Source organism: Homo sapiens, chromosome 8 (assembly GCF_000001405.40).
Source record: "Homo sapiens chromosome 8, GRCh38.p14 Primary Assembly".
Lineage (NCBI taxonomy): Eukaryota > Metazoa > Chordata > Mammalia > Primates > Hominidae > Homo > Homo sapiens.
In genome coordinates this window covers 48,915,638-48,939,616 of record NC_000008.11, presented here as the reverse complement: position 1 = coordinate 48,939,616, position 23,979 = coordinate 48,915,638, and the positions used below count along the sequence as shown (strand labels likewise).

Below are 23,979 nucleotides of genomic sequence, written 5' to 3'. Positions count from 1 at the left end.
CCCAGTGATTGCATTACTGGGTATATACCCAAAGGATTATAAATCGTGCTACTATAAGGACACATGCACAGGTATGTTTATTGCAGCACTATTCACAATAGCAAAGACTTGAAACCAACCCAAATGTCCATCAGTGATAGACTGGATTAAGAAAATGTGGCACATATACACCATGTAATACTACGCAGCCAAAAAAAAAGAATGAGTTCATGTCCTTTGCAGGGACATGGATGAAGCTGGAAACCATCATTCTCAGCAAACTATCACAGGGACAGAAAACCAAACACCACATGTTCTCACTTATAGGTGAGAACTGAACAATGAGAACACTTGGACACAGGGCAGGGAACATCACACACCATGGCCTGTCGGTGAGGGGAGGGGGCTGGGGGAGGGATAGCATTAGGAGAAATACCTAATGTAAATGACGAGTTGATGGGTGCAGCAAACCAATATGGCACATGTATACCTATGTAACAAAGCTGCACGTTGTGCACATGTACCCTAGAACTTAAAGTATAATAATAAAAAAAATATATAATTTATATGTCCATTTTATTTTTGTTTTTAAAAATGTCCAAGATTTATTTAATTTTTTAATCGTGCTTATTATAAAATCTCAAAGTCTAAGCAAAGAAAACAGCTATAGTAACATATGAGTGCTTCTGCCACATGTCTTGGTACATTTATTAGATTGGTGCAAAAGTAATTGCAGTTTTTGCCATTGAAATTAAGGGCAAAAATCGCAATTACTTTTGCACCAAACTAACATAAACTCATATACAAAGGTGTGTGTGTTCATGTGTGTGTGTGTATACATGCAACATATATGTGTATATACATGTACATATATACATACATATGTAATATATACACACACAATATTCTACTTTACTATGAATGAAATAAATTCTATGGTTCTTTATTTTCAAAATGAAAAGTGTTCGCCTTCAATCCTTCCTTTTGCAAGTTCAGAGAAAATTCAAATAGAAGTCATTCAAAGTTGACATTAAGAGATCAACCTCAACAATTCTCCCTTTTTTAGGGTCCTGCCAGTGGCTTACGGACATTTTTCAAAAGTCTTTTCATTTATGTATATTTTCTGAACAAAAGGAAAGGAGAACAGGGGTATAACATAACTACAACAACCATACCCTTCTAGTACCCTCCATAATTGTGGATAATGACCTCTGTGTGGCTGTTATTTTGCAAGAACCTTAGGATCTGACCTGCAACTTTCCTCTTTCCCTGAAGTGTCATTCTCATCTTGAATTTCCTAGTGTCCATGTGAGATACACCCACGCCCTGGCCTCTCGGGTCAATGTAGGCTCCCACGCCAGTCAACTGAGGGGCTGATGCCTTGCGTGCTCAGAACTGCCTTACCTCCAGAATCAGTCCAGCTTCCTATTATCTGATTATATCCCTTCATTCTATTGAATTGCTTACTCATCTAATTCCCTGTATCTGTTCTTAAATATTACAAGCCTTCCTGTTATGGAATTCTGTGAGTTCCCTCTTCCATTAGCTTTCTCCTTTCTTCATCCCTCTTTTTATCTAATTAAATTGCTTGGTTCATTGTTCAATAATCTATCTGTTACATTAGTTAATAGGATTAGCTTGATATATTAAAAAATGAGAATAACAACTGTATAGATTTTTATTTCTTTTTAACTATTAAAAACAAAGACATTTTAAGGTACCGAAGATAAAAAACTTCTCAACATAGAATTCCTTGCACAGCACAAATGTCATTTTAAAAAGTAGATGAAATAAGGACTTTTTCAGGAAACAAAATCTGAAAAAAATAAGTTTCATTGCTAGCACACCTGCAGTGCAAAAACATATTAAAGGAAGTTCCATAAGCAGAAAGGAAATGATGGCAGATGAAAAGAAAGTATAATACGGGAGTAAATATAAATGACATTTTTATGTCACTTTTCATCTCCTTAGGATATAATTGACTATTATACTATGGAGTTTGTAGCATATGTAGAAGTAAAATTATGACAATTGAACAAATGACAGGAGTAGAAAGCAAGTAGCAATCTGGCATATTAAAATTCAAATCACAAACCCAAGATGTGCTAAATGTGTAAGGTCTACAAATCTAACTTAAAAGGTAGATATTGTCATTTTGAATAAGAATGCAAGAAACCGCTCAACGTTTTTAAATATAAAGACACATATAGTTAAAAGAAAAGGATGCAAAAAGATTTGGCAAATACCCATCCAAAAAAAAAAGATAAAAAGAGGCAATACAATAAAGACATCAATCACAATAAGCATGTAACAACACTAAAGGTTCGCACATGTAATAGCGGTCCCAAATAGGTGAAGAAAAAAGTGGCAGCAGTGAGGGGTGAAAGACATAAATTCACAACTATCAGTGAGGATTTCAACACTCTTGTTTCAGTAATTGATAAAAAAACAGTGGAAATTCAGTGAGGATGTATAGACTTGAACAATGCAATCAAGTCATTGACTTACTCGGCATTTATAGAACACGCTGGCCAACAATAGCAGAAGACAAATTCTTTCCAAGGGCATATGACACTTTCACAAAGATAAACTATTACAGGTGTTTGAAACCTGACCCCCAAAAATTAAACTAGAAATTAGTAAGTGAAATATATCTGAAAACTCCCAAATATTTTGAAAATAAACAACCCAATGATAGTCAATGAGTTACAGAAGAAATCACAAGGTAAATTGAAAACATTTTGAACTGAATAACAGTGAATATGCAACATTTCAAAATATGTAAAGATGCAGCTACAACAGTCCCAATTGGTAAATTTAAAGTACTAAATGCTTATATTGGAAGAAAAGAAAGACTTTAAATCAATGATATAAGTTTCTAATTTAAGAAACCAAAAAAAGAGCAAATTCAACACAGAAGCAAAAGGAAATAATGCATATTCTTTCATGAAATTGAACGAAACAACATTTTTCAGACAGAAAAATAAGTTTTTTATTACCAAGAGAGCTTTAGAAAATGAATCAGAAAAGAATATTCTTTAAGAAGAAAACAAAAATGATTCTGCAAGAAATTTCTAAGATGCAAGAAAGAATAGAGAACAAAAGAGACTAAATATACACACTGACCATGGCTAGACCGTGCATGCCTGTAGAACTCTAACCCCAAATTTCTGCATTAACCAGCTCTAGAAACCAAACCACCTCTATAGGAATTGGCCCACCTCTCCCAGGCTCCTACCCTCATTTCCAACTCAGGACAGATAGAGAAAGTTAAATATGCTTCCCAAACCAATTATGAAAGATATTTAGCTTCTATTTAGCTCACTCCAGCTTCCCCATAACAAACAACTTCTAATCAGAAATACCTGAAGTCTTCCCTCCTTTTCAGTAAAACTTTCCCACTCCCCTGATTACCTTTGAAGACCTGCAGATCTTCAGTGATGGTAGCTGTCTTCCTTGCTTTAGCAAGCTCCAAATAGACAGCCTTGGTTTGTTTTCATTTGGGTTATCATTATTACCACAAAAATAATGGTAAATAGGTAAATGTGAATAAGAATAATTTCATAAAACTATATTAATATGCCTAATTAGCAGGGTCAAGGCAAATAAGAGAAGATCTGAATAAACAGAGCTACATGCCCTATTCAGAGATCAGAAGTCTAAACTTAGCAAAAATGTCAATAGACTTTAAATTAATTTATAGATTTAATGCAATTCCTATGAAAATCCCAGCAATATTTTTGATAGGCATAGAAAAGCTTCCTTCTAAGATTCCTAGGGAAAGGCCCTGGGATAGCTTAAACAATCTTGAAAAGAAGAATAAAGTGGAAGGAATCACTTTACCTGATATTAAGTCTTACTGCAAAGCTACAGAAATCAAAGATATAGTTAAGTTTCTAACTAGTAAAATAACCTGACAGAATTAAAATTTTTAATGCAAAACCACAAATAGGTTGGGGAAGGAGAGAGGAGAGAACCTCCCCACTTTCAGTCCAGTTTTCATGGTGGGGAGCTAGCAGACACTGCCTCGCATTACAAACCAAGAAACGTGACTGGAATTCATGGAGCTCACCCTCAACAATACAGATAAATATGGGGAAATGACAAACACTGATGTTCCGAAGAATGCAACAAGGAAGGAGAACAAGGATGAAGAGTTTTACTTTTTGTTTAATCAAGCTAGACTGTTGAAAAAGTGGCTTATTTCTAAATACAAGAGTATTTTACACTTTTAACAAAATGTCAATGTACATATTCACACATATGATTTCTCCATTTTTTTTTTTGTTAATCTTGTAATAAAGAAAATACCCTCAACATGGCCAGCAGTAGCCTGCGAGACTCAGCCTCACCTCCTGGGTTTCCTTTGGCCACACTTTTCCCATGGCCCCCATTCTAACACAGGGCCTCTTAGTTCCTGCATGTTCCCCAGGCTCTGTGCTTTCATTATTTCTTCTACTTACAATGCTTCCCAGCCCTTTCCTCCTTTCAGGTAGCAAATACCTACCCAACTTTCTGAACTCAGTTGAGCATCACTTCATCAGAACAGGATCTTGACTCTCCAGAAAAGGATTCTTTTCCTGTTAAGTACTTTTGTAGCGTCGCTCAGCCTCTACAGTTGCTACAATTTGTGGTTCACATTTTTGAGGCAATCAATACCCTTCTCCCCTCTAAATTGCAAGCTCCATGAGATCAGGGGTCTGTTTTGCTATCATTTCCCCAGCATCCTGAACATCATCTTGTATATACTGGACAACTAATAAAATATCTGTGGAATAAATAATGAACTAGTATATACATCGTTTTTCACAACCCCTCACTTCTCCCTGTATAGAATGTCTAAGTTCCAGTCACCATGCTTGAAAGTAAGAGTAAGGGGGAAATTAAATCAACTCCTTTCCCCCTGCCTTATTTACTTAGTCATATCCTCTTCAGTGTATTTTTTAAATCATTATAGTGCAGCAAAGTCTATCCAAGCAATATACTCAGAATTATTACACCTTCATACTTTATAAGTCAAGTCCCAAGAAATAGGACTAATACCTGTATCACAGACTAATCACATTATTTGAGGTTTTGGCAGGTGTCCTTGTTATGTTTGGAAGACTTAGTTGACCAGCAATATATCCAGATCTGCAGATGAGTCATGCCGTAACAGGGATCTACTGTTATTATTAAATTTTGGCAGGAGAGTGACAGAGGTCTCAATGGCTTATCTTGGCTCAGATCCAATGCCCACTTTTGCAGTAATAAATAACACCACCCTGAGAACTAACAGCAGTAAGGACAGAGGCAAGATCTTATGTAAAAGAAGTCTTAGGATTACTTCTATCTCAACTTGTTTTAAGGTGCTTAAAAACAAAGAAAAACAAGACAAAACAAAACTTACGGTCACCCTAGAATCATGGCATTAAAAGGTCAATAATCATGTTTCTGAAATAAAACTGCTGTTGCTGGATATTAAATCAGTTCTATAGGTCTGATCTACAGGTCAATCTAGTTCCTTTTAAAATGTTCTTATAACCAAAAAAAAAAATGAAAGGGAGTTGTGTTATGTGATTTCGAACAATAAGAGCATTAATTCCATTCCTCTGCAGCAGGTCTTGTGGGAGAAGCACGAGGTCATACCAGATAAGAGCATGGGTTCTGGCGTCAGACTAACTGTATTCACCTCTTGTCTGTAATAGCTATGGGCTGTTAACTTGGGCAGCCCATATGCAAAACAGTGATTTTATCAGGACTGAATTAAAGGATTGGGAGAGGATTAAATAAAATCTGCTAAATTGCTTAATAGAGTATCTAGCACATAGTAAGCACTTAATAAAGGGCAGTTCTTTTCATTATTTCTATATGTGCTGGGCACTCTATTTATAACTTTACATGCATTATCTTGCATACTTACAACATCTCTGCAAGACAATCATCAACATTCCCATTTACCAGTCAGTAAATGGGAATTCAATAAAGAAGCTGAGGTCACTGAGCTAGTAATACCGGTCATTATTTAAATCCAGACCTATAGAACTTCAAAGTCTGCTATCATTACAGATCTCTAAAGCTGTATAATGTAATGGGCACTTAGACTACATCATGTTATTCTTTATTATATTCTTAACCAAACACACACAATTTCCGCCATCTGAATAATGGCTGTTATTTTCTGATTCAGAAAAAATTGGAAGTCGATAACTGGTTGTTCTGCTAAGATCCAGTTTTAAAAAACCAGTAAACTTAGAGTTAGAACAACTACCATTGTATAAATTCTAGGTCTCAACATCATCCACTGTAAAATAATAAATTATACCTGTCTCAGGGAGTTGTTAAGAGATTTAAATAAGATTCATAAATATAGTCAGTACAATTCTTGGCTCAAGGTAGGCACTCAATAAGTGTTTATTTAAGAAAAAGAAATATATATATCTATATGTACATTTCTGAGGACATGTGATAAATGATGATTGACAGGTAGATCATGATAAATAGATGATTGATTGATGACAGATGATTTGTTGATAGGTGATTTGTTGATAGATTGGTGGTTGACTGATGATAGATGACTGATAGATAGGTGACAGGTTAATGATAGATTGATGATAGATTGATTGGTGATAGTTAGATGTTAGATGATTGATAGATAGGTAGCACATGAAATCTTTGCAACCTGAAGAATCACTTCCTCCTAAAACAATGTACAGCCCACCTTTACCCATTTGCGCTATTTCATTCTCTGTCATCAAGGTTCTTCTACCCTTTCCAGAGCTATACAAATCTATAATGTCTCTGGCTGGGAGAAATTACGAGCAGTGTCCTCTACATTATGCCCACATTGCCATGTGGGTGACTGTATTCCCTTTCAGAATGTTTGGTATTGACCAAATGAAGGGGGAAATGCTCCATAGCTTTTAAGTGACACAAAGCACAGAGCTGAAGGGAACAGAAGCATCCATGGTGATAGACTGAGTGTGGCAGAGGAAGGGTCTGCTCTCCCAGGTGCTACTCTGTCACCAAGCACACATAGGATTTCAAATAAGCCATTTTATTTCTTAGTAGAGATGGGGTTTCACCATGTTGGCCAGGATGGTCTCTACCTCTTGACATCATGATCCACCCACCTAGGCCTCCCAAAGTGCTGGGATTACAGGCGTGAGCTACCATACCTGGCCTAGTTCTTAATTTCTTAATCTGTATGTAATAAGATTTTCAGTTCAAGGACCTAGGTTGTGTTCATCCTGGCATTCAACAATCAGGAGATGTCTGCAGGGCAGGGGAGAGATCACCTATCAGGTGTCTATTTGCATAAAAGACCAGGAGGCCTTCAAGGAAAATACAGTCATGTATCACATAAACAATGTTTTGGAGGTTTGAGTCAACAATGGAACATGCATACAATGGTGATACCATAAGATTATGATTCTGTATTTTTACTGTACTGTACTTTTTCTATGTTTAGATACACAAATACCATTATTTTATAATTGCTTACAGTTTTTAGTACAATAGCATGCTGTACAGGTGTGTCACCTAGGAGAAATAGGCCATATCATATAGCTTAGGAGTGTGGTAGGCTTGATATCTTGGTTTGTGTAAATACACCCTGATGTTCACACAACTAAATTGCACAACAAATTTCTCAGAATATATCCCCATCGCTAAGTGAATATGATGGTAATCCAAGGGCACAGATCTGAAGACAAGTGCTTCAGTGTCAAAGAAGAAAGGTTATTTTGCATTGAGCACAGTATCTGTCATTCGTATTAATATTTTCTTCTTGGGCCCCGTGGCCTGATTTCCAGACCCTAGGGTGGGGGATTAAAACAAATTTATACAGCATAGGGCTGGGTAAAGGTAGTGAGGCCTTATGGCTGTTGTGCTCAGCAATCCATGTGGAAGAGAAGAAGACATATCTGGCAGTGAGATGTTCTCTACCTGCAGAGGATTGGAGCCCATGGGAGCATGGACACTAGAGTCTAAGCAAAATGGGTCTGCATGTACACAGGAAAAGAAGCCAGAAGGAACACCACCCTTCAAGAACATCATACAAGCTTTGCAATGGCTTTGGCAACTTGCACAGCATGTTTGGCAGCAATGGTGACTACCAGAGGCCTGGCTTGGGGCCAGGAAAGGAGGAAAAAGACAATAACAGTGCCACCAAGATGGATAGGCCGTGAGAGACCCCAAGCCCCCACCCAGGACTCTGGGAAGGATGGGGAGAGCCTGAGAAGGAGGCCTTCTGCAAAGCTATAGGGACAAAGACAGACAGCTACTCTTCTGTGTTTTTAATTGAACCTTCTTTTAATCTCCAGGCTGACACAGCTTAAGAAAACATAAGCTGCGTGTAAGACAAAGAATTTGTGATCAATCACCTTTAATTGTTCTTTCCAAAGAAAACGTCTATTGTTTCTCCATCTTAGTGCTCTGGCAATTGCGCTGAGGCTTCAAGAGCATGGTTCATCAACCTGAAATGACTGTGGGTGTATCTACTGAAATTTCTTCAAAATATATACATTTAAGTGCTCTCATAAGAAAATGATGATGGTGATGAAGAGCATACCACTTCCTATCATTTCTAGATTTTTTTTTTCAAATTCACTTTGGAATCCATTGACACACTCCAAGCAGAAATATCCAACTTTTCTCAAAAGAGAATGATACAATATATAAAACCAGCTTCCAAATTTTCCAAACTGCATCTGTACAACCAGCTGAGTTGTAAATGTGATTTACTTATGACTTCCCACAGCTGCTCAATCTCCACTTTGGTTAAGCTTCAGATCCATAGGTGTTCTGACTGTTCTCCATCCAGCAGACATCCTCAGAAGAGCCAGGGAAGGGCTGCCTCTGTGTCCAAGCGCCTTTCATCAACAGGCACACCCATTCTGTCTTCACACTGATGGTTAATCCTGCTGTCATCGCTGGGGCATTTCATGCTGAGCACTCTTGACTTTCAACATCATTGTGTCAAATCACTGCCTTCCCTGGGGCTCATGGGTGATTTTCCTCCAGCATAAAGTCTCTATTCTGATGGACACAAATACAACTTTGATTCATGCCATAGAAATGATGCAGACAAATTGGCTCGGCATTCTCCCTCTATAGAAGTGACCTGGTAGTAGCCTACGTGACTAAGGATATGGTGGCCTGGAATGCCTTTTTTCCTCTTAACGTAACTTGATCAATTTTCCTTGTCACCTAGAGAAATAAGAGACATTTTTGTGGTATGTGGTGGAGTGAGGATTGTTGCCTTGTGCCTGACAGTGCTATCCCTAGAGTCCCCACAGGAGTGTCTCAAGTGGGGGCTCAACCTCACCATTCCTAGCAGGACTTGGGTTCATTTGATGGCTTTGGGGTAGATATCAGGGACTAAAGAACTTGCAACCCAATTTTGAGAACACCATTGTACCCATATAGTTGCGGTATAAAATTCAAAGTATCTACTCACTAGGCCAACAAAATCTTACTCAATTGTAGCTTCTAGCTAAGGGAAATCCACTCTTGACTTGAATAGAAAGAAAACCACACACTGGGAGTCAGGAAGATCAAGGTGTACACATTCATCCTTTCCACCATAAGTTCTTCCTTATGATATAGCCACTTGGAGTTGTGTGGGTTAAAAGTCCTACTTTGCATTTTGGTCTAAAATTATTGAAGCCACAATATCTTGTACCTTCTGTTTTCTGCACAGGGTGCAGAAGCATAATAATGAAAATGAAAATGAAACACGCAAGGTAGATGGCCCACAAGGAATAACCCCTTAGATATTAAACTGTACTACTTTATGGGGTGGGAAAGGACTAAGCAGGTCAAGATACAGAATTGCACTTGAGTTTTTAAATAGAGTACTATTCTTTCTCTTTAAAGGCCTTCAAGGATAATTTGCAGAAGCTGATCAATTACATTTTCAAATAAAAGACTGCCTCTGCAGGGTACCTTTTGGGGGCTACCTGCTATGGCGCTCTGCTAGAAGTTTGCACATTACAGTTGTAATCCTCTATGATGCTAGGAAGATTCACATCCTTGCACAAGCCTCTTCTTGCCCTCTCAGGCAAAAGTAAAAAATGGGAGGGAGTGTTACACTAGATCGCCAAGGCCCTCCCTCACTCTAATGTTCTATGACTTCATTCCATCTCAGTTTTCTCTTAAGACTCAGATTCCCTTTCCACTTTCCTGGAGTGCAATTACCGACTCTAGCTCATCACTCACTCATCATTGAGGTACTGCAATCAATCCCAAAGATTCAAGAGAGCTGGGAGGTTCAGGATGATTTGCATGCCATTAACTTCCATTCATTATCACTTGCAAATGATTTCACAGTATCTTCCACCTTCTCTTTAAAAGTACAATGATGAATTCCACCCACTCAGTAGAGTTTGGGTCTATATAACGCTGCTGGGGAAGCAGGGTGGGGAAGAAGAAAGCCTGTCTAAAAAGTCACAATGACAAAGGGACCCATCAACCCAGCTCTTAAAAGGATTTGTGCCTCCGCAAGCAGCCAATCACCTCTAAGTGCTGGCAAGTGTTATGTCAATAACTTCAGTGTTAGATTCGAATACTCCTCTCTTACTGGCTCACCTGGACTGCCCACTCACCTGACAATTGAGCAATGAGGGCACATTCCTAGTGCCAGCAAAGGCTCATATCCAAGGACAGCAGTAGGTTTGAAGGGGACAAATAAGTGCAATATTTCTTTCCCGTTATCATTCTGGCCTTAAGATAGGACTTTCATTTTTAAATGCAAGGCCCAAAAGCACTTTTAGAAAAGATCTTTCTACCTGTGGAGTGTGTGCACGTGTGTGTTTCTTTTTAAATAGCCATGGTATCATTTAAGAAAATGCCTCCTTTGATAAAGCACAACATACAAATATTTCTATCCCGGGAAAAATTTGGATTTTGTGGTGAGTCCAAATAGCCACAAAGTTCTTCAAGGCCAGGTTCTCCATCTTTTTTCAGGGATCTTTATCAAGGATTAGGTTTGCAAATGGTGTAACCAAGTTTTATATGCAAGTGGCCAGTGTCTGTGGAGCAGAAAAAGCAACAGCACTTGTAGGACCTGGGAAGCACTCCCAAGCCTTGTATTCCCAGAGCTCTGACAGGTTTGCTTTTGGATATAGCTCAGCAATTGGTTCATCAAGATCTAAATGAGGGAGTCCATCCTACACATGTCATAATTTAGACTTTGCTTCTCTGCATCACCCTGGGAAGCATCACAGTCTGCTGTTCTAAAGGATTTTAAATTTCATATTCAGATAGGTGTGTTGATGACTCAGATCTCCAGCCTAGAGAGAGGCAGTGGTGCCATGCAGGGCAAGGACTGGGAGTTCACACCAGCACCCTTAGGCCAGCGATCCCAATCTGTTTCTCCTTTGCTCATGTGCAGGCGATGGCTGTGTTCCCTTCCCACTAATGCAGGGCCCAGCAACTGCAACATCATTCTGGGAATCCCACAGTGCTGTCCTTTATGGTCTAGAAGATAAGCTTTGGGTGTTGATGTAGAACAGGCAGTGTTCCTCCTCCTAATCCATTCCAGTCTCTCTGTCTTGTGCACCCTGTCTTCTCTGCCCCCTTACAGGGCACTGCTCTTACTTCTGCTGAGAGCCAACGGATATGAAAGGCCTTCATTTCTCCCTGGGCAGCCTCCTCCCTCCATTGGGGCTGCTAGAATAAAGTGTTGGGACTGGTTGGCTTATGAAGAACAAAAGAAAGAAGTTCATTTCTCACACTTCTGGGGGCTGAAAGTCAGAGATCAAAGCCCGGGCAGATTCAGAGTCTGGTGAGCTTCCTGGCTCACAGACTGTCTTCCTTGGTATGCTCACATACAGGAAGGGAGGAGAGGGCTCCTTAAGGTCTTTTAAAAGGGCACTAATCCCATTTATGAGGGCTCCACCCTCAGGACCTAACCAAATCCCAAAGGCCACACCTTCAAAGACCACTACCTCGGGAGTCAGGTTTCAACACAGGAATGTTAGGGGGACACAAGCATTCGGTCCACAGCAGCAGAGCACTGCCACTTCCACTGGGGACCCACCTGCCTGTCAGACACCACGACACCTGTTGGCAAGCCCACCACCCACGCTGATGCCCCTGGGGCACTCAGGGACTTTACTGTCATGCTCACTGCCAGCTGTGGCAATGCTCTCAGGAAGCTCTCTCCTTGTCTCATGCGACCTCTGCCTCAGAGATTCCAAGGCAGCACTACCTGCTCTCTAATGCCAACAGAGTTCTAGGAAAGCCACATTTCAGCTTCACTGAGGGAATCATGCATGCTTCTCCGTAGCATGTTTGGGTGCATGGCCAAAAGACATACTGAAGTGGCTGGTACCCTGCTGTACTCAGCTTCAACACCCTTCTGTGGCTACTAAGAGCTGGTTGTAAGATTAGGCTTGGTAGGCCTGGTTCCTATTCTCCCTACTGTTCCTGGATATGTTCTCCCCCAGGAAGCACCTCAAGCCCTTCTTGTAAAAGAATGCAGACCAGCCTACCTTACAAGTTTACCAAACATGTCCACTGCCATGGGAACCTATGGAGGCTTATTCTGGAGCAAGGCAGGCACACCACATGGACACACCCACACATGGGTACACCTATGAGAGGAAAAGAGAAATTTTCAGACTATAAAACTTCTCCATCATATTTGGAAACATTGATTCCTCATTGATGCATTTATCTTTCCCCACATAATCCCATTCAAGATAAGGCAACAAATTTAACCACCCGTTTGGAAAAACCACATGATTCTTACAGAATAAGAATTAATGGTCATCTCCTTTTTTGGCAGACCAGAAGACAATGGCACCTATTTCATTAAGCACTTAGTATTCTATTCCTTGAAGTCACACCCAACACCTGGAGGCAACTGGCATCAAGTCTGAAATCAAGTAACCCTGACCCTGGTATGACTTGGGAAAAGGGGGAGAGACAGCATGGAGAGAGCAGTGAGTGAAAGTGAGGGATTGCAAACACTGTATGTGAGTATCCTCTGAGTGGGGAAGAGAAAGCAGGGAGGCCAATTTTCAAACAAGTCATGTTTTACAGCTAATCATGGGTCTATTTCACCATTATGATGTGTTATTACCATTACTGTAGTGAAATGCATGGGATTTGAAGTTAAACAGGTCTAGATTCAAGTGCGACCTCTAAGTACTCCTTACTAGCAGTGTGATTTGACCAAGATAATTAACTTCCTTGTGTCTTCATTTCTTCATCTGTAAGTAGGGATAACTTCTACCTTGCAAAATAAGCTACTTTGGAGGCATGCATTAAAATAATGCGTGTGAAGTGCTTAGCATAGTAGACAGACAATCATATTAATCATGAAGAATAGCAGCTCTTATCACTACCCATAATGCCACACACTGTTGGGCACTGAGTGTCCTTTAAGCAAACCAAATGGGATAGCAGATTCCAGCAACGAAGTACATAGCCTTGGAGGCAGACAGACTAAGAAGAAATCATTCTGAATGCCCTGGAAACTGGGCTCAGGCTTGGTTTCCCATTTTTAAAATTCCTCTACCTTGGAGGTTATCATGCAAACATAACAAAGAGTCCAGAAGGTTGCTCACTTGCCTCCAGTGTAATGCTAGCTGTTTCTGCCTACTTCCTTCTTGACTGCACAGACTGATGACGTCATAACATTCCCTTTCTCGCCTATCTTATAAAATCATCATAATTTGTTGTGTAAATGTTGTGCATATTTCTACAAATACAAATGTGTCACTTTGAATTATGAGTACATTAATAAGTTCAACAAATTTATATAATGTCCATCTGAAATTGTGGCAATTGCAAAACAAGGTCAGGTTGATGTTCTCAGGGTTGAGTCAAATCCACCCATTTTCCACTAGGTGGCAGACCTTGTTAAAAAGTTACGGAAAAGGAAAGAAAGACAAAGAAAATAATGAGTCTTCTGAAGCTGACCAATAGATGTCTCTTTGCAACCACATATCCCTGAGCTGTCGCTTAAAATACACACAAATTCAACACTCCCTAGTCTTTCTTTTTCATTTTACAGATAATATCATCAACACTTTCCACAAGGTACACACAGAACACTGAAGAGATGAATATCTCTTACTTTTCATGATGCACTTAACCATATTCTATCCACCCAAAGGGAAATGAGATCATACAAACATAACTAGGAATAAGATTCTGAACACAAGTGACTTGGCAGAAAGCAGATTTCATTAAAATGCTGTTCCCAAGTTAAGGGTTTTCTGTTTGGAGTGATCTTAAATATTTACTGATCATATGTGATGGTACTTATTGAGCTATTGGCATTAGCACTAACTCCAGACAGACGCAGATGCCTAGTGGCTATTGGCCTGCTGAACATGACACTGGGAACACGCAGGAAATAATGGAAACTCCTAAACAGCAGAGGGACATCCTGACACCATTTTTGGCTATTATTTTCCCAACATTCAGACATGTGAGTGCTCACACAAAGGTGTGTTCATGCTCATATTTGGCCCTGTTGACATCACCAAGCACATATACTTACATATGTGGAGTGCATAGGCGAGTGCCATCCATTCCCTTTGAGAAAAGAGGTTCTCCTTATTGTGGAGCTCAGAATATATAAGCAGAATCCCATGCCCGCTCTGACAATTTTCCAAAAGGAAATTTAGGAATATTTCTTCCTAAATCCTTTTACATACAGATATGTGTATGTTAAAAACCCACAAAATGGCATCACACCCTTGTCATTCAAACTTCAAAGTTATATTTAATAAATGCTTTGTTTCTATGTAAATAGATTTTTAAAATTACTAATGTATTATAATATTCTCCAGATAGCACAGCCAAACTCATGATATTTCATCACTTCATATTTTTCAAGGGATATGAATATGCATATGAATTGAGGAGATATGAACCCCCTCCAGAGTGATCATACCACACACCAAACTTAGAAAGAGATGCCTTTCATTTTAGGAGATAGGACACAGCATAAAATGGGATTTTTCAGCCTATGCCACACTCTGGTTTCTTCTGGTGCTAGATTTACTACTCCATTTCCTAAACATGGTAGTCAATACTTGCACTGCTTTTTACACACCTAAATACCTAAATGTGTACAAATCTCCACGCAAAGTAAAGAAACCCAAGGTGCGTTCCCAAACCTCACGGATCTAATTTATTCCCCTACTTGGCAGGGCAAGAATGTGTCTTTCATGAAGAAAACTGGCTCCGGGAGAAACCCCACCCATCCAGGGAGCCTGTGGGGAAGGCTGGCCCAGATCTTTAACTTACAAAGTTTTCCACAAGTTATCTTGGTCAGCTTCTTCAGAAAACAGAGAAAATGAGAGCCTGTCAGGTACGTCACATCAAATCACATCATGGCAATTAAGGAATTAGATTATACGGGTGTCTGGGGTGCCAGGCAACCCGCACAACCCATGCCATGGAGTCTCGCCAGTGTGGCTCAAGCCTAGGAAGGATTATTTTTTAAGCCTCACTATGGCCTCCAGAGTTCCTTTTTTCTCCCTACACTACATTAAACTCTCAAGAGCCTAAGAGCAGAGCTTGTGCCTTCCTTTTGTCTTACCCGTGCCCACTGGCTTCACCCTGGCTGGGCTGTGTCCACGTGGCTCTAAGAACAAGCACCATTTATTTAATTGTTATGAAATAAATTAGGCTGATAAACCCAATCAGCCTAATTATGGAGCACCAATTTCTCACCAACCTAGGACTGAATCCTTGGATTAGCAAACCCACTTGGGTTTGCTTGTTCCATTTTTCCCCCTCAGTCATTGATTTGACTTCTATTGGATTCCAGAATGAAAGCTTTAAAATCTGGTGCAGTTGCCTCCACAAAGATTTCTGTCCCTGGGCAAGAGAAAGTCTTTTTGTCAACGACCAAAGCCAACCCCTCCAGATGAGCCCTCTGGCTGGCAGAAGGAAAGGAAACCTCTGTCTTGTCTTAGCAGAGTCCCAGCAGCTGGCCTTTGGGTGTGGCCTTGACTTCCCGGCTTGCGTTTTTACCACATGGTGCTGGCGCCACATGCCCTCCGCTGTGTCTGAGCAGAGCACCTGTTTCGTCTGACTCACGCCATCAGCGCGCAGACTCGCCCTGCTCTGACAGCGGCCCAGACCTCACACGGGCATACGTGTTACTCGCTAGCACGCGGATCTGTGTAATGACATGCCCCATGCACAGACCCGAGCCCCATCCTCTCCTCACAGTAGGTGTGGCCGCACGTCCTGACGCCGATCTGTGCAGTGCACCCTCGGATACCTGCTGATGGGGCTGGGCTGGATTATGCCTCTGTGATCCAAATGTAAGCTTTTTTCATGCATAGTGAATTATTATTAAACGTTGTAAATGGATTTTTGAATACACATTTTAGTAGATGATCTTGTGTTATAACTACCAGCAAATAAATACCAAAACATTGTCTAACACTCTTCTTTGTTGTGAATAGACTGTGTAGAGTGAAACAAGGAAATAATAGCCATGGCGATATGTGTTTTCTCAACTGTGCTATATCTGTAACAAAAATGTGTGTTTTGTGGGAAATGGAGTGAAAAGCAAGGAGGACTCCTGCTCTCATAAACCCAGGTGCCTACATCCGAACAAACCCTCACATAGAGTAGCAAGCTTAGAAAACTGCCTCTGGCTTTTACTCCAGGTTCCAGTTTGTGTGTGGAGAAATCGAATATGTATTCATATTTTCCTCTCTCCTGCAAGTACAGTTCCATTAGCATAAGGATTCCTTTGAATTATTTTCTCTGTTTGACATTTAAATTAGTGACTGTTGGAAGAAATAAGAATAATCATTGAAATTAGCTTAGGAAATCTGTGAGTGCCCCACCTCACCCTCCAAACACACATACACTCTTGTTTTCTCATTCCAAGATTAAGAAGTTATGCAACCTGACAATGCACTTTTCTCTGACAAGTCTTGACATCACCACTGTTATTTTCTTTTTCACTTTTTTCCTCCAGCACCTGTTAGAAACAAGAGTAGGGTGATCTTCATGTGAATTTGTTCTTTCCTTATTCTTTTAGCAAAAGATAGGGATAAAAGTCTGCAATGGACAGAGATGCTTTAAAATATGCTTGAAATTTTATATTTAAAATAAACCACCTGAAAGTATTTTTAGATTGAAGACCATACACAAAATAAAGGTGTTTTTGCAGTTACTAGACTGGGTTCTTAAAACTTTAATCAATCTATATTCATAATAATATCCTTCAATTTCTTTTTTAGCATTATACAGGAAACTGGTAGATACTGAGATGGATTTTAATGGCTTTATACTGATGAAAATAGCACCACATAAAAGCAGGGGAATATTAGAAATAAAAATAATTGTCTCTAAAGACCCATACAACCCTTTTTCCCATAAAAAAAAAGATGCACTGTAATACATGAAAAGATAAGATCTCTTGTCAAAAGTGTGAGAGAATGTCCGGTGGTTCCAAATGACAGTTACCTCTTGCCCCCCTTCTCTGCCAGAGTTCCTTTTTATCTTTGCAATCTTCCAGTTCTTCCGATCAGCCTGCCTTTAGAGGGCTACAAAGCATTTCTTTCAAGCCACCATAGCTAACACGGTGACATGAGTACTTAATTTGCACGCGGCCGCGCTGCCCCTGGCTTCGCGGAAGCCCTGAGTAGCGCAGCGCCCTCGCCGCACGCAAGGCTGCAGTCCCGCTCCAGGCCAGAGTCCCAGGAGAGCGTCCTCCGCGCTCACAGGCGCCTTTGTCTTCCCGCTTCCCCCTTCCTTTTTCAAAAGCCAAGAGGTAATTATTTGGTCTTTGTGCAAGGCAAACCTCTCCAGATGCCACTTCCAAATATAGGCTCTCATTAACACCAGAGGCTGGCCTGGTGTGGTGCAGGGCGGCCCTTCCTTCTCCTGGCGGACACTGTGTCCCCGCGCGCTGGCGCTGCACCACATCTGGAAGCCAGGCGGGCAGGGCAGAGACCCCGGCTCCTGCGCCCCTCCTAGCTCCCAGAGAGCGTGGATCGCGGGCGGGGCTCACCGAGCGAGGTTACCTCTCTTGAAAATACTTAAACACTTTTTTTCCTCTCCACTGAAATCTCAAAAAACAGCCCATTTTGAACCAGAATAATTTAGTCTGACAACAGATTCTTCCTCTGTTCACAGCTGTCCCAGAGGGAGGAGCTGAAATCTGAACCTCTCAGCTGTGATTGGATCTTTCTTGCAAAAGAGAGGAAAAAAAAACCCTCCCAGCCAAAACGGGCTCAGTTCGTAAAGGAGCCGGGTGACTTCAGAGGCGCCGGCCCGTCCGTCTGCCGCACCTGAGCACGGCCCCTGCCCGAGCCTGGCCCGCCGCGATGCTGTAGGGACCGCCGTGTCCTCCCGCCGGACCGTTATCCGCGCCGGGCGCCCGCCAGACCCGCTGGCAAGATGCCGCGCTCCTTCCTGGTCAAGAAGCATTTCAACGCCTCCAAAAAGCCAAACTACAGCGAACTGGACACACATACAGGTAAAAAGAGAAAAATATATCTAGAACTACGTATCTAGAGCTTTGCAAATATGAATCTACGTATTACCCTTCAAATACCATTACAAAAGAGCCAAAGATTCAACTGTTTTCCTTTTTAACAGTGTCCTGAAAGGGAGCTTACATTCTTTTGATCATTTAGGGTTCGTTTTAATTCAAAACTTTTAAAATTCTTGACTAACAAGGAACATTTCATTCAAATCTCGCAGCTTCGTTTGCTAAAGCCTGTGTATACATGCATAATGAGTATGTGAAAGATGAGCAACATAAGGATTGAATTACTGCGTTTTTCATGCACTAAGTCTCCTTTCCTTTAGAAGGCGGCTTGATGCAGGCATATCTTTGTACTCACGGTCGTAATACACCTAAATAGCCCATACGTAACATGGAAAACAACTTTTCTGTATGTTTAAAAATAATGTTGAGGCTCTCCTTCCTCAATGGGGACGGCGAAGGCACTGGCTTGGCTGCACTGTCTGACTTCAGAGCACCTATAGCTCCGTGCAGCTGTCAGCCTATGTGTGCATTAAGTACAGTAACTCCGTAGGTGCCAGGGTGGAAATGAAACATTTTACCAGTGTGTATGCCCTCCTAAATGGGTCTATCTTCTTCCTAAGAAAATCACGTGTGTGTTGCTAAATATCTTTCCAGTGTGTGTATACTTGCGTGTGGATTTATTTTTAATTATTTTTGCCTTAATCTTCTCTCCCTCCCTTTTCTTTCCCAGTGATTATTTCCCCGTATCTCTATGAGAGTTACTCCATGCCTGTCATACCACAACCAGAGATCCTCAGCTCAGGAGCATACAGCCCCATCACTGTGTGGACTACCGCTGCTCCATTCCACGCCCAGCTACCCAATGGCCTCTCTCCTCTTTCCGGATACTCCTCATCTTTGGGGCGAGTGAGTCCCCCTCCTCCATCTGACACCTCCTCCAAGGACCACAGTGGCTCAGAAAGCCCCATTAGTGATGAAGAGGAAAGACTACAGTCCAAGCTTTCAGACCCCCATGCCATTGAAGCTGAAAAGTTTCAGTGCAATTTATGCAATAAGACCTATTCAACTTTTTCTGGGCTGGCCAAACATAAGCAGCTGCACTGCGATGCCCAGTCTAGAAAATCTTTCAGCTGTAAATACTGTGACAAGGAATATGTGAGCCTGGGCGCCCTGAAGATGCATATTCGGACCCACACATTACCTTGTGTTTGCAAGATCTGCGGCAAGGCGTTTTCCAGACCCTGGTTGCTTCAAGGACACATTAGAACTCACACGGGTAAGAGAAAAACCATAGGCAGGAATGTTACTCTGAGATACAATGAAGCCCTGGGCTGGCTGTTGGATTTGCATGAAGTTGTGACATAGTGCTTTTAATGATGGACAGTCATTGATAGCTACTTCCTGACTACTCAAAAAGTTGTTAGGGCACAAAGTGCTCCATTTCTTGCTAACAACCTCTGCTCCAGGGACTGCAAACAGCATGTAGACTTTGGAAAGTAGATTCAGAAGGTTTGGTCTCAAAGATCAGTTAGAAAATCAGGAAAGATGTGCTTGAATGTGTGTTCTGTGAAACTGCCCCCAGTAATCAGCAAATACAAATGTTGCTATCTTAATCAATTGATTTGGTTAATAGATGAAGGCTTTTCCTACAGTTTTCTGTTAGTTACATTCTTGCTCTGATATTTGTCACCCGTGGGTGACTTGGATAGTTGAAACTAAATTTACTTTGCCTCTCTTGCTTTGTTTGGGGATTTTTTGCTCCTTAATTTCTTATTCGTATCACAGAATTATTCTGCAGGGTATCATGGCACTTAGACCACCTTAATCATAGTACAGAAAGAGGGAAAAGGGGAAATATTGGGAAATGTTGGGAGGTGCTCAACATTAGCTGCATCTGCTAAAGCAGAAAGCTTTAAGAAGTGAAAGTCCAAGAACTACGTAAATTATTTCTGTATGATTGGCAGCAGTAATAATATTCGTGTATGATTTTTAAATGCAATATTCAAGTTTATCTTAAAAATTCAGGTATTTTTAAAAGTGTCTATTATGAGGGATTTTAATCAGGTTTTGCTGCTTCTCATTATTTAAGCAAAATGTGATTGACTTTTGTTAACATGATTTTACTTTATGTTTCCTCTAAAAACACTGACTGTCTTTCTTTTTTTCTCCCACTCCACCCCCAGGGGAGAAGCCTTTTTCTTGCCCTCACTGCAACAGAGCATTTGCAGACAGGTCAAATCTGAGGGCTCATCTGCAGACCCATTCTGATGTAAAGAAATACCAGTGCAAAAACTGCTCCAAAACCTTCTCCAGAATGTCTCTCCTGCACAAACATGAGGAATCTGGCTGCTGTGTAGCACACTGAGTGACGCAATCAATGTTTACTCGAACAGAATGCATTTCTTCACTCCGAAGCCAAATGACAAATAAAGTCCAAAGGCATTTTCTCCTGTGCTGACCAACCAAATAATATGTATAGACACACACACATATGCACACACACACACACACACCCACAGAGAGAGAGCTGCAAGAGCATGGAATTCATGTGTTTAAAGATAATCCTTTCCATGTGAAGTTTAAAATTACTATATATTTGCTGATGGCTAGATTGAGAGAATAAAAGACAGTAACCTTTCTCTTCAAAGATAAAATGAAAAGCACATTGCATCTTTTCTTCCTAAAAAAATGCAAAGATTTACATTGCTGCCAAATCATTTCAACTGAAAAGAACAGTATTGCTTTGTAATAGAGTCTGTAATAGGATTTCCCATAGGAAGAGATCTGCCAGACGCGAACTCAGGTGCCTTAAAAAGTATTCCAAGTTTACTCCATTACATGTCGGTTGTCTGGTTGCCATTGTTGAACTAAAGCCTTTTTTTGATTACCTGTAGTGCTTTAAAGTATATTTTTAAAAGGGAGGAAAAAAATAACAAGAACAAAACACAGGAGAATGTATTAAAAGTATTTTTGTTTTGTTTTGTTTTTGCCAATTAACAGTATGTGCCTTGGGGGAGGAGGGAAAGATTAGCTTTGAACATTCCTGGCGCATGCTCCATTGTCTTACTATTTTAAAACATTTTAATAATTTTTGAAAATTAATTAAAGATGGGAATAAGTGCAAAAGAGGATTCTTACAAATTCATTAATGTACTTAAACTATTTCAAATGCATACCACAAATGCAATAATACAATACCCCTTCCAAGTGCCTTTTTAAATTGTATAGTTGATGAGTCAATGTAAATTTGTGTTTATTTTTATATGATTGAATGAGTTCTGTATGAAACTGAGATGTTGTCTATAGCTATGTCTATAAACAACCTGAAGACTTGTGAAATCAATGTTTCTTTTTTAAAAAACAATTTTCAAGTTTTTTTTACAATAAACAGTTTTGATTTAAAATCTCGTTTGTATACTATTTTCAGAGACTTTACTTGCTTCATGATTAGTACCAAACCACTGTACAAAGAATTGTTTGTTAACAAGAAAAAAATGAATAATGCTTATTATGCATCTGAAGTGTTATTTTATGTGTTAGATTATAATAAAGTAAGCTGCTAGTATTATTTTTACTCAAGATAGTAGTATCACATTCAGAAGAGACATGACGGTGGTTTGTTAGCATACCACTTTAACAAAAATCACACTTTCTGGGTGCAAAACTAGTTGTATTACTAATAGTTAAAAATACTTTTCAAAATTTTTCATGTTGACTTTATTAAGTTTGTTTTATGAAGACAAAAAATACAATCACTTTTATTATTACCTACACACTGTAACAGTTTAAGATTTTTAAAAGAAATATTATGTAAAGAGATATATGAGGGAAAAGAATACAAACTGCATGAAAAGACCAGGAGAAACGATTTACTATAAATTACACAAGTTGGAAAGTTAAACCATGCAAAGAAAACCCCGCATCTAGTAATATATAAAATAAGTGATGTGTTTGATAGGAACAGGTCAGTGAGCAGTGGAAATTACCTTTTAAGGTATTTGAACACGTTGGACAAGCCCACACTCAAACCTAATGTGTACTGGAGAAAGTATAACATGACCATGCATTCATACACATATGCATGTGTAGATGCTAAATAAATGCATGTGTAGTAACTCACATGCAAAAATCCTAACCATCATAGGAACTGTGAAAGTTAGCCAAATATATATTTGAATTCAAACTCCTAAACCTACTAAAAGAAGAAGAGTCCTGCTTCTGTTCATCACATCTCTCTGGTGATTTGATCAGAACTTGGAGAATCATCTTTTTCCTTTTAATATCTTTGTAATATTATACCAATAAATGCCAGAACCTGTATCTCAAAGATGTTGGTAGCAGGCCCCTAGCAAATGACCAACAATAAATACCAATACTATTCCCTTAATGTTCGCATTCCTTCCACTGTATGTTACATTTACATTTTCAGCCACCATATAAAAGGGGGTGCATTTGACTAAAAAAAGGCTTCCCAAGTATTCTGCTTTAATTTTTTGACATTGCAATACATATTTTTTAGAGGCAAAATTATTTGAAATAGCAGTTTATGGATATGAAAAAATGGCTGATAGCTTGACTGGAGCATTCTAAACTTATAAAAGTACCAATTTAGCTAAATGTATATGGTATAAAAATGATTGCCAATGATTGTCTAGAAGTTTCCAAGCCAGCTAGCATGTAGAAACATCTGGCAAGGGGAAGTGTGAGTGAGTCAAGCCTTCTTGGATGTTCTGGTTGGCTATCCCAGGAATCATATCTACTCCTGTTTCCCTTCCTCATTTGTAGGTCTACAGGCAAGTAGTGTCTTGGTGTCCAAAATCTAATCAGCTTTCTAAGAGGAAAAGTCTATTCATTATTTAATTTCTTAGTGAAGAATTAGTAGTAATATTTTTGTAATTTATTTGACTTCATTCTCATCATTCTAATTTCATGTTTAAAATGTTTTACTTTCATTAAGGTATCATGGATCTGAATTAAGGTAAGCAGATATTAAGACATTGTTTTTTTTTTTTTTTTTGAGATGGAGTCTCGCTCTGTCACTTAGGCTGGAGTATGGTGGTGCGATCTCGGCTCGCTGCAACCTCCGCCTCCTGGGTTCAAGCAGTTCTCCTACCTCAGCCTCCTGAGTAGCTGGGATTACAGGTGTGCACCACCACACCCAGCTAATTTTTTTTAAAATCCACACTACGTTTATTTTTTAAAGTTTTATTATGAAATAATTAGAGATTCACTCAAAGTTGGAATGATAGTAAGGAGAGGTCCAGTCCTGTGTACATTTCTGGCAATGCTTACATTTTAACAGAACTACAGTACAATATTAGAATCAGTAAACTGATATTGGTACAATGTGCATGTATAGTTCTGTGTCGTTTTATCACATTTAGATTCCCATACCTAATACCACAATCAAGATACAGAACTATTCCATTATCACAAAGAACTGTTTCATATTACTCATTTATAGTCACCACTCTCCCAACTCCAATATCCCTAACCCTTAGCAACCATTAATTTCTTCTCAGTCTCTATAATTG

At 39.8% G+C, this 23,979-nt stretch overlaps 1 protein-coding gene and 1 long non-coding RNA gene across 2 annotated transcripts, besides 1 other annotated feature; one reads left to right on the top strand and one right to left on the bottom strand.

Annotated features, from left to right (window-relative positions):
* Positions 1-8,250: 8,250 nt before the first annotated feature.
* Positions 8,251-18,060, bottom strand: LOC107986942 (uncharacterized). Its single transcript, XR_001745895.3, has 4 exons — positions 17,416-18,060; positions 16,853-16,927; positions 12,456-12,557; positions 8,251-9,168 (listed from the first exon to the last, which is right to left on the bottom strand). It is a non-coding gene; the product is annotated as an uncharacterized LOC107986942 (long non-coding RNA).
* Positions 17,998-18,077: an enhancer, noted in NCBI's record as "active region_27334". NCBI's record gives its function as "activates an Ori minimal core promoter by ATAC-STARR-seq in GM12878 lymphoblastoid cells {active_cell/tissue: GM12878}" and the evidence as "EXISTENCE:reporter gene assay evidence [ECO:0000049][PMID:35858748]".
* On the top strand, positions 18,188-22,019 carry SNAI2 (snail family transcriptional repressor 2). Its single transcript, NM_003068.5, has 3 exons — positions 18,188-18,430; positions 19,176-19,721; positions 20,629-22,019. Exons 1-3 carry the CDS (start codon positions 18,352-18,354, stop codon positions 20,808-20,810), a joined length of 807 nt encoding a protein of 268 aa, NP_003059.1. The 5' UTR covers positions 18,188-18,351; the 3' UTR covers positions 20,811-22,019.

Excerpts from the sequence above, each read along its gene's own strand:
- SNAI2 (NM_003068.5), top strand. The coding sequence starts at position 18,352 with ATGCCGCGCTCCTTCCTGGTCAAGAAGCATTTCAACGCCTCCAAAAAG. Across the intron at positions 18,431-19,175 it reads CGAACTGGACACACATACAG|TGATTATTTCCCCGTATCTC; the intron begins GTAAAAAGAGAA and ends TTTCTTTCCCAG. Across the intron at positions 19,722-20,628 it reads ACACATTAGAACTCACACGG|GGGAGAAGCCTTTTTCTTGC; the intron begins GTAAGAGAAAAA and ends CTCCACCCCCAG.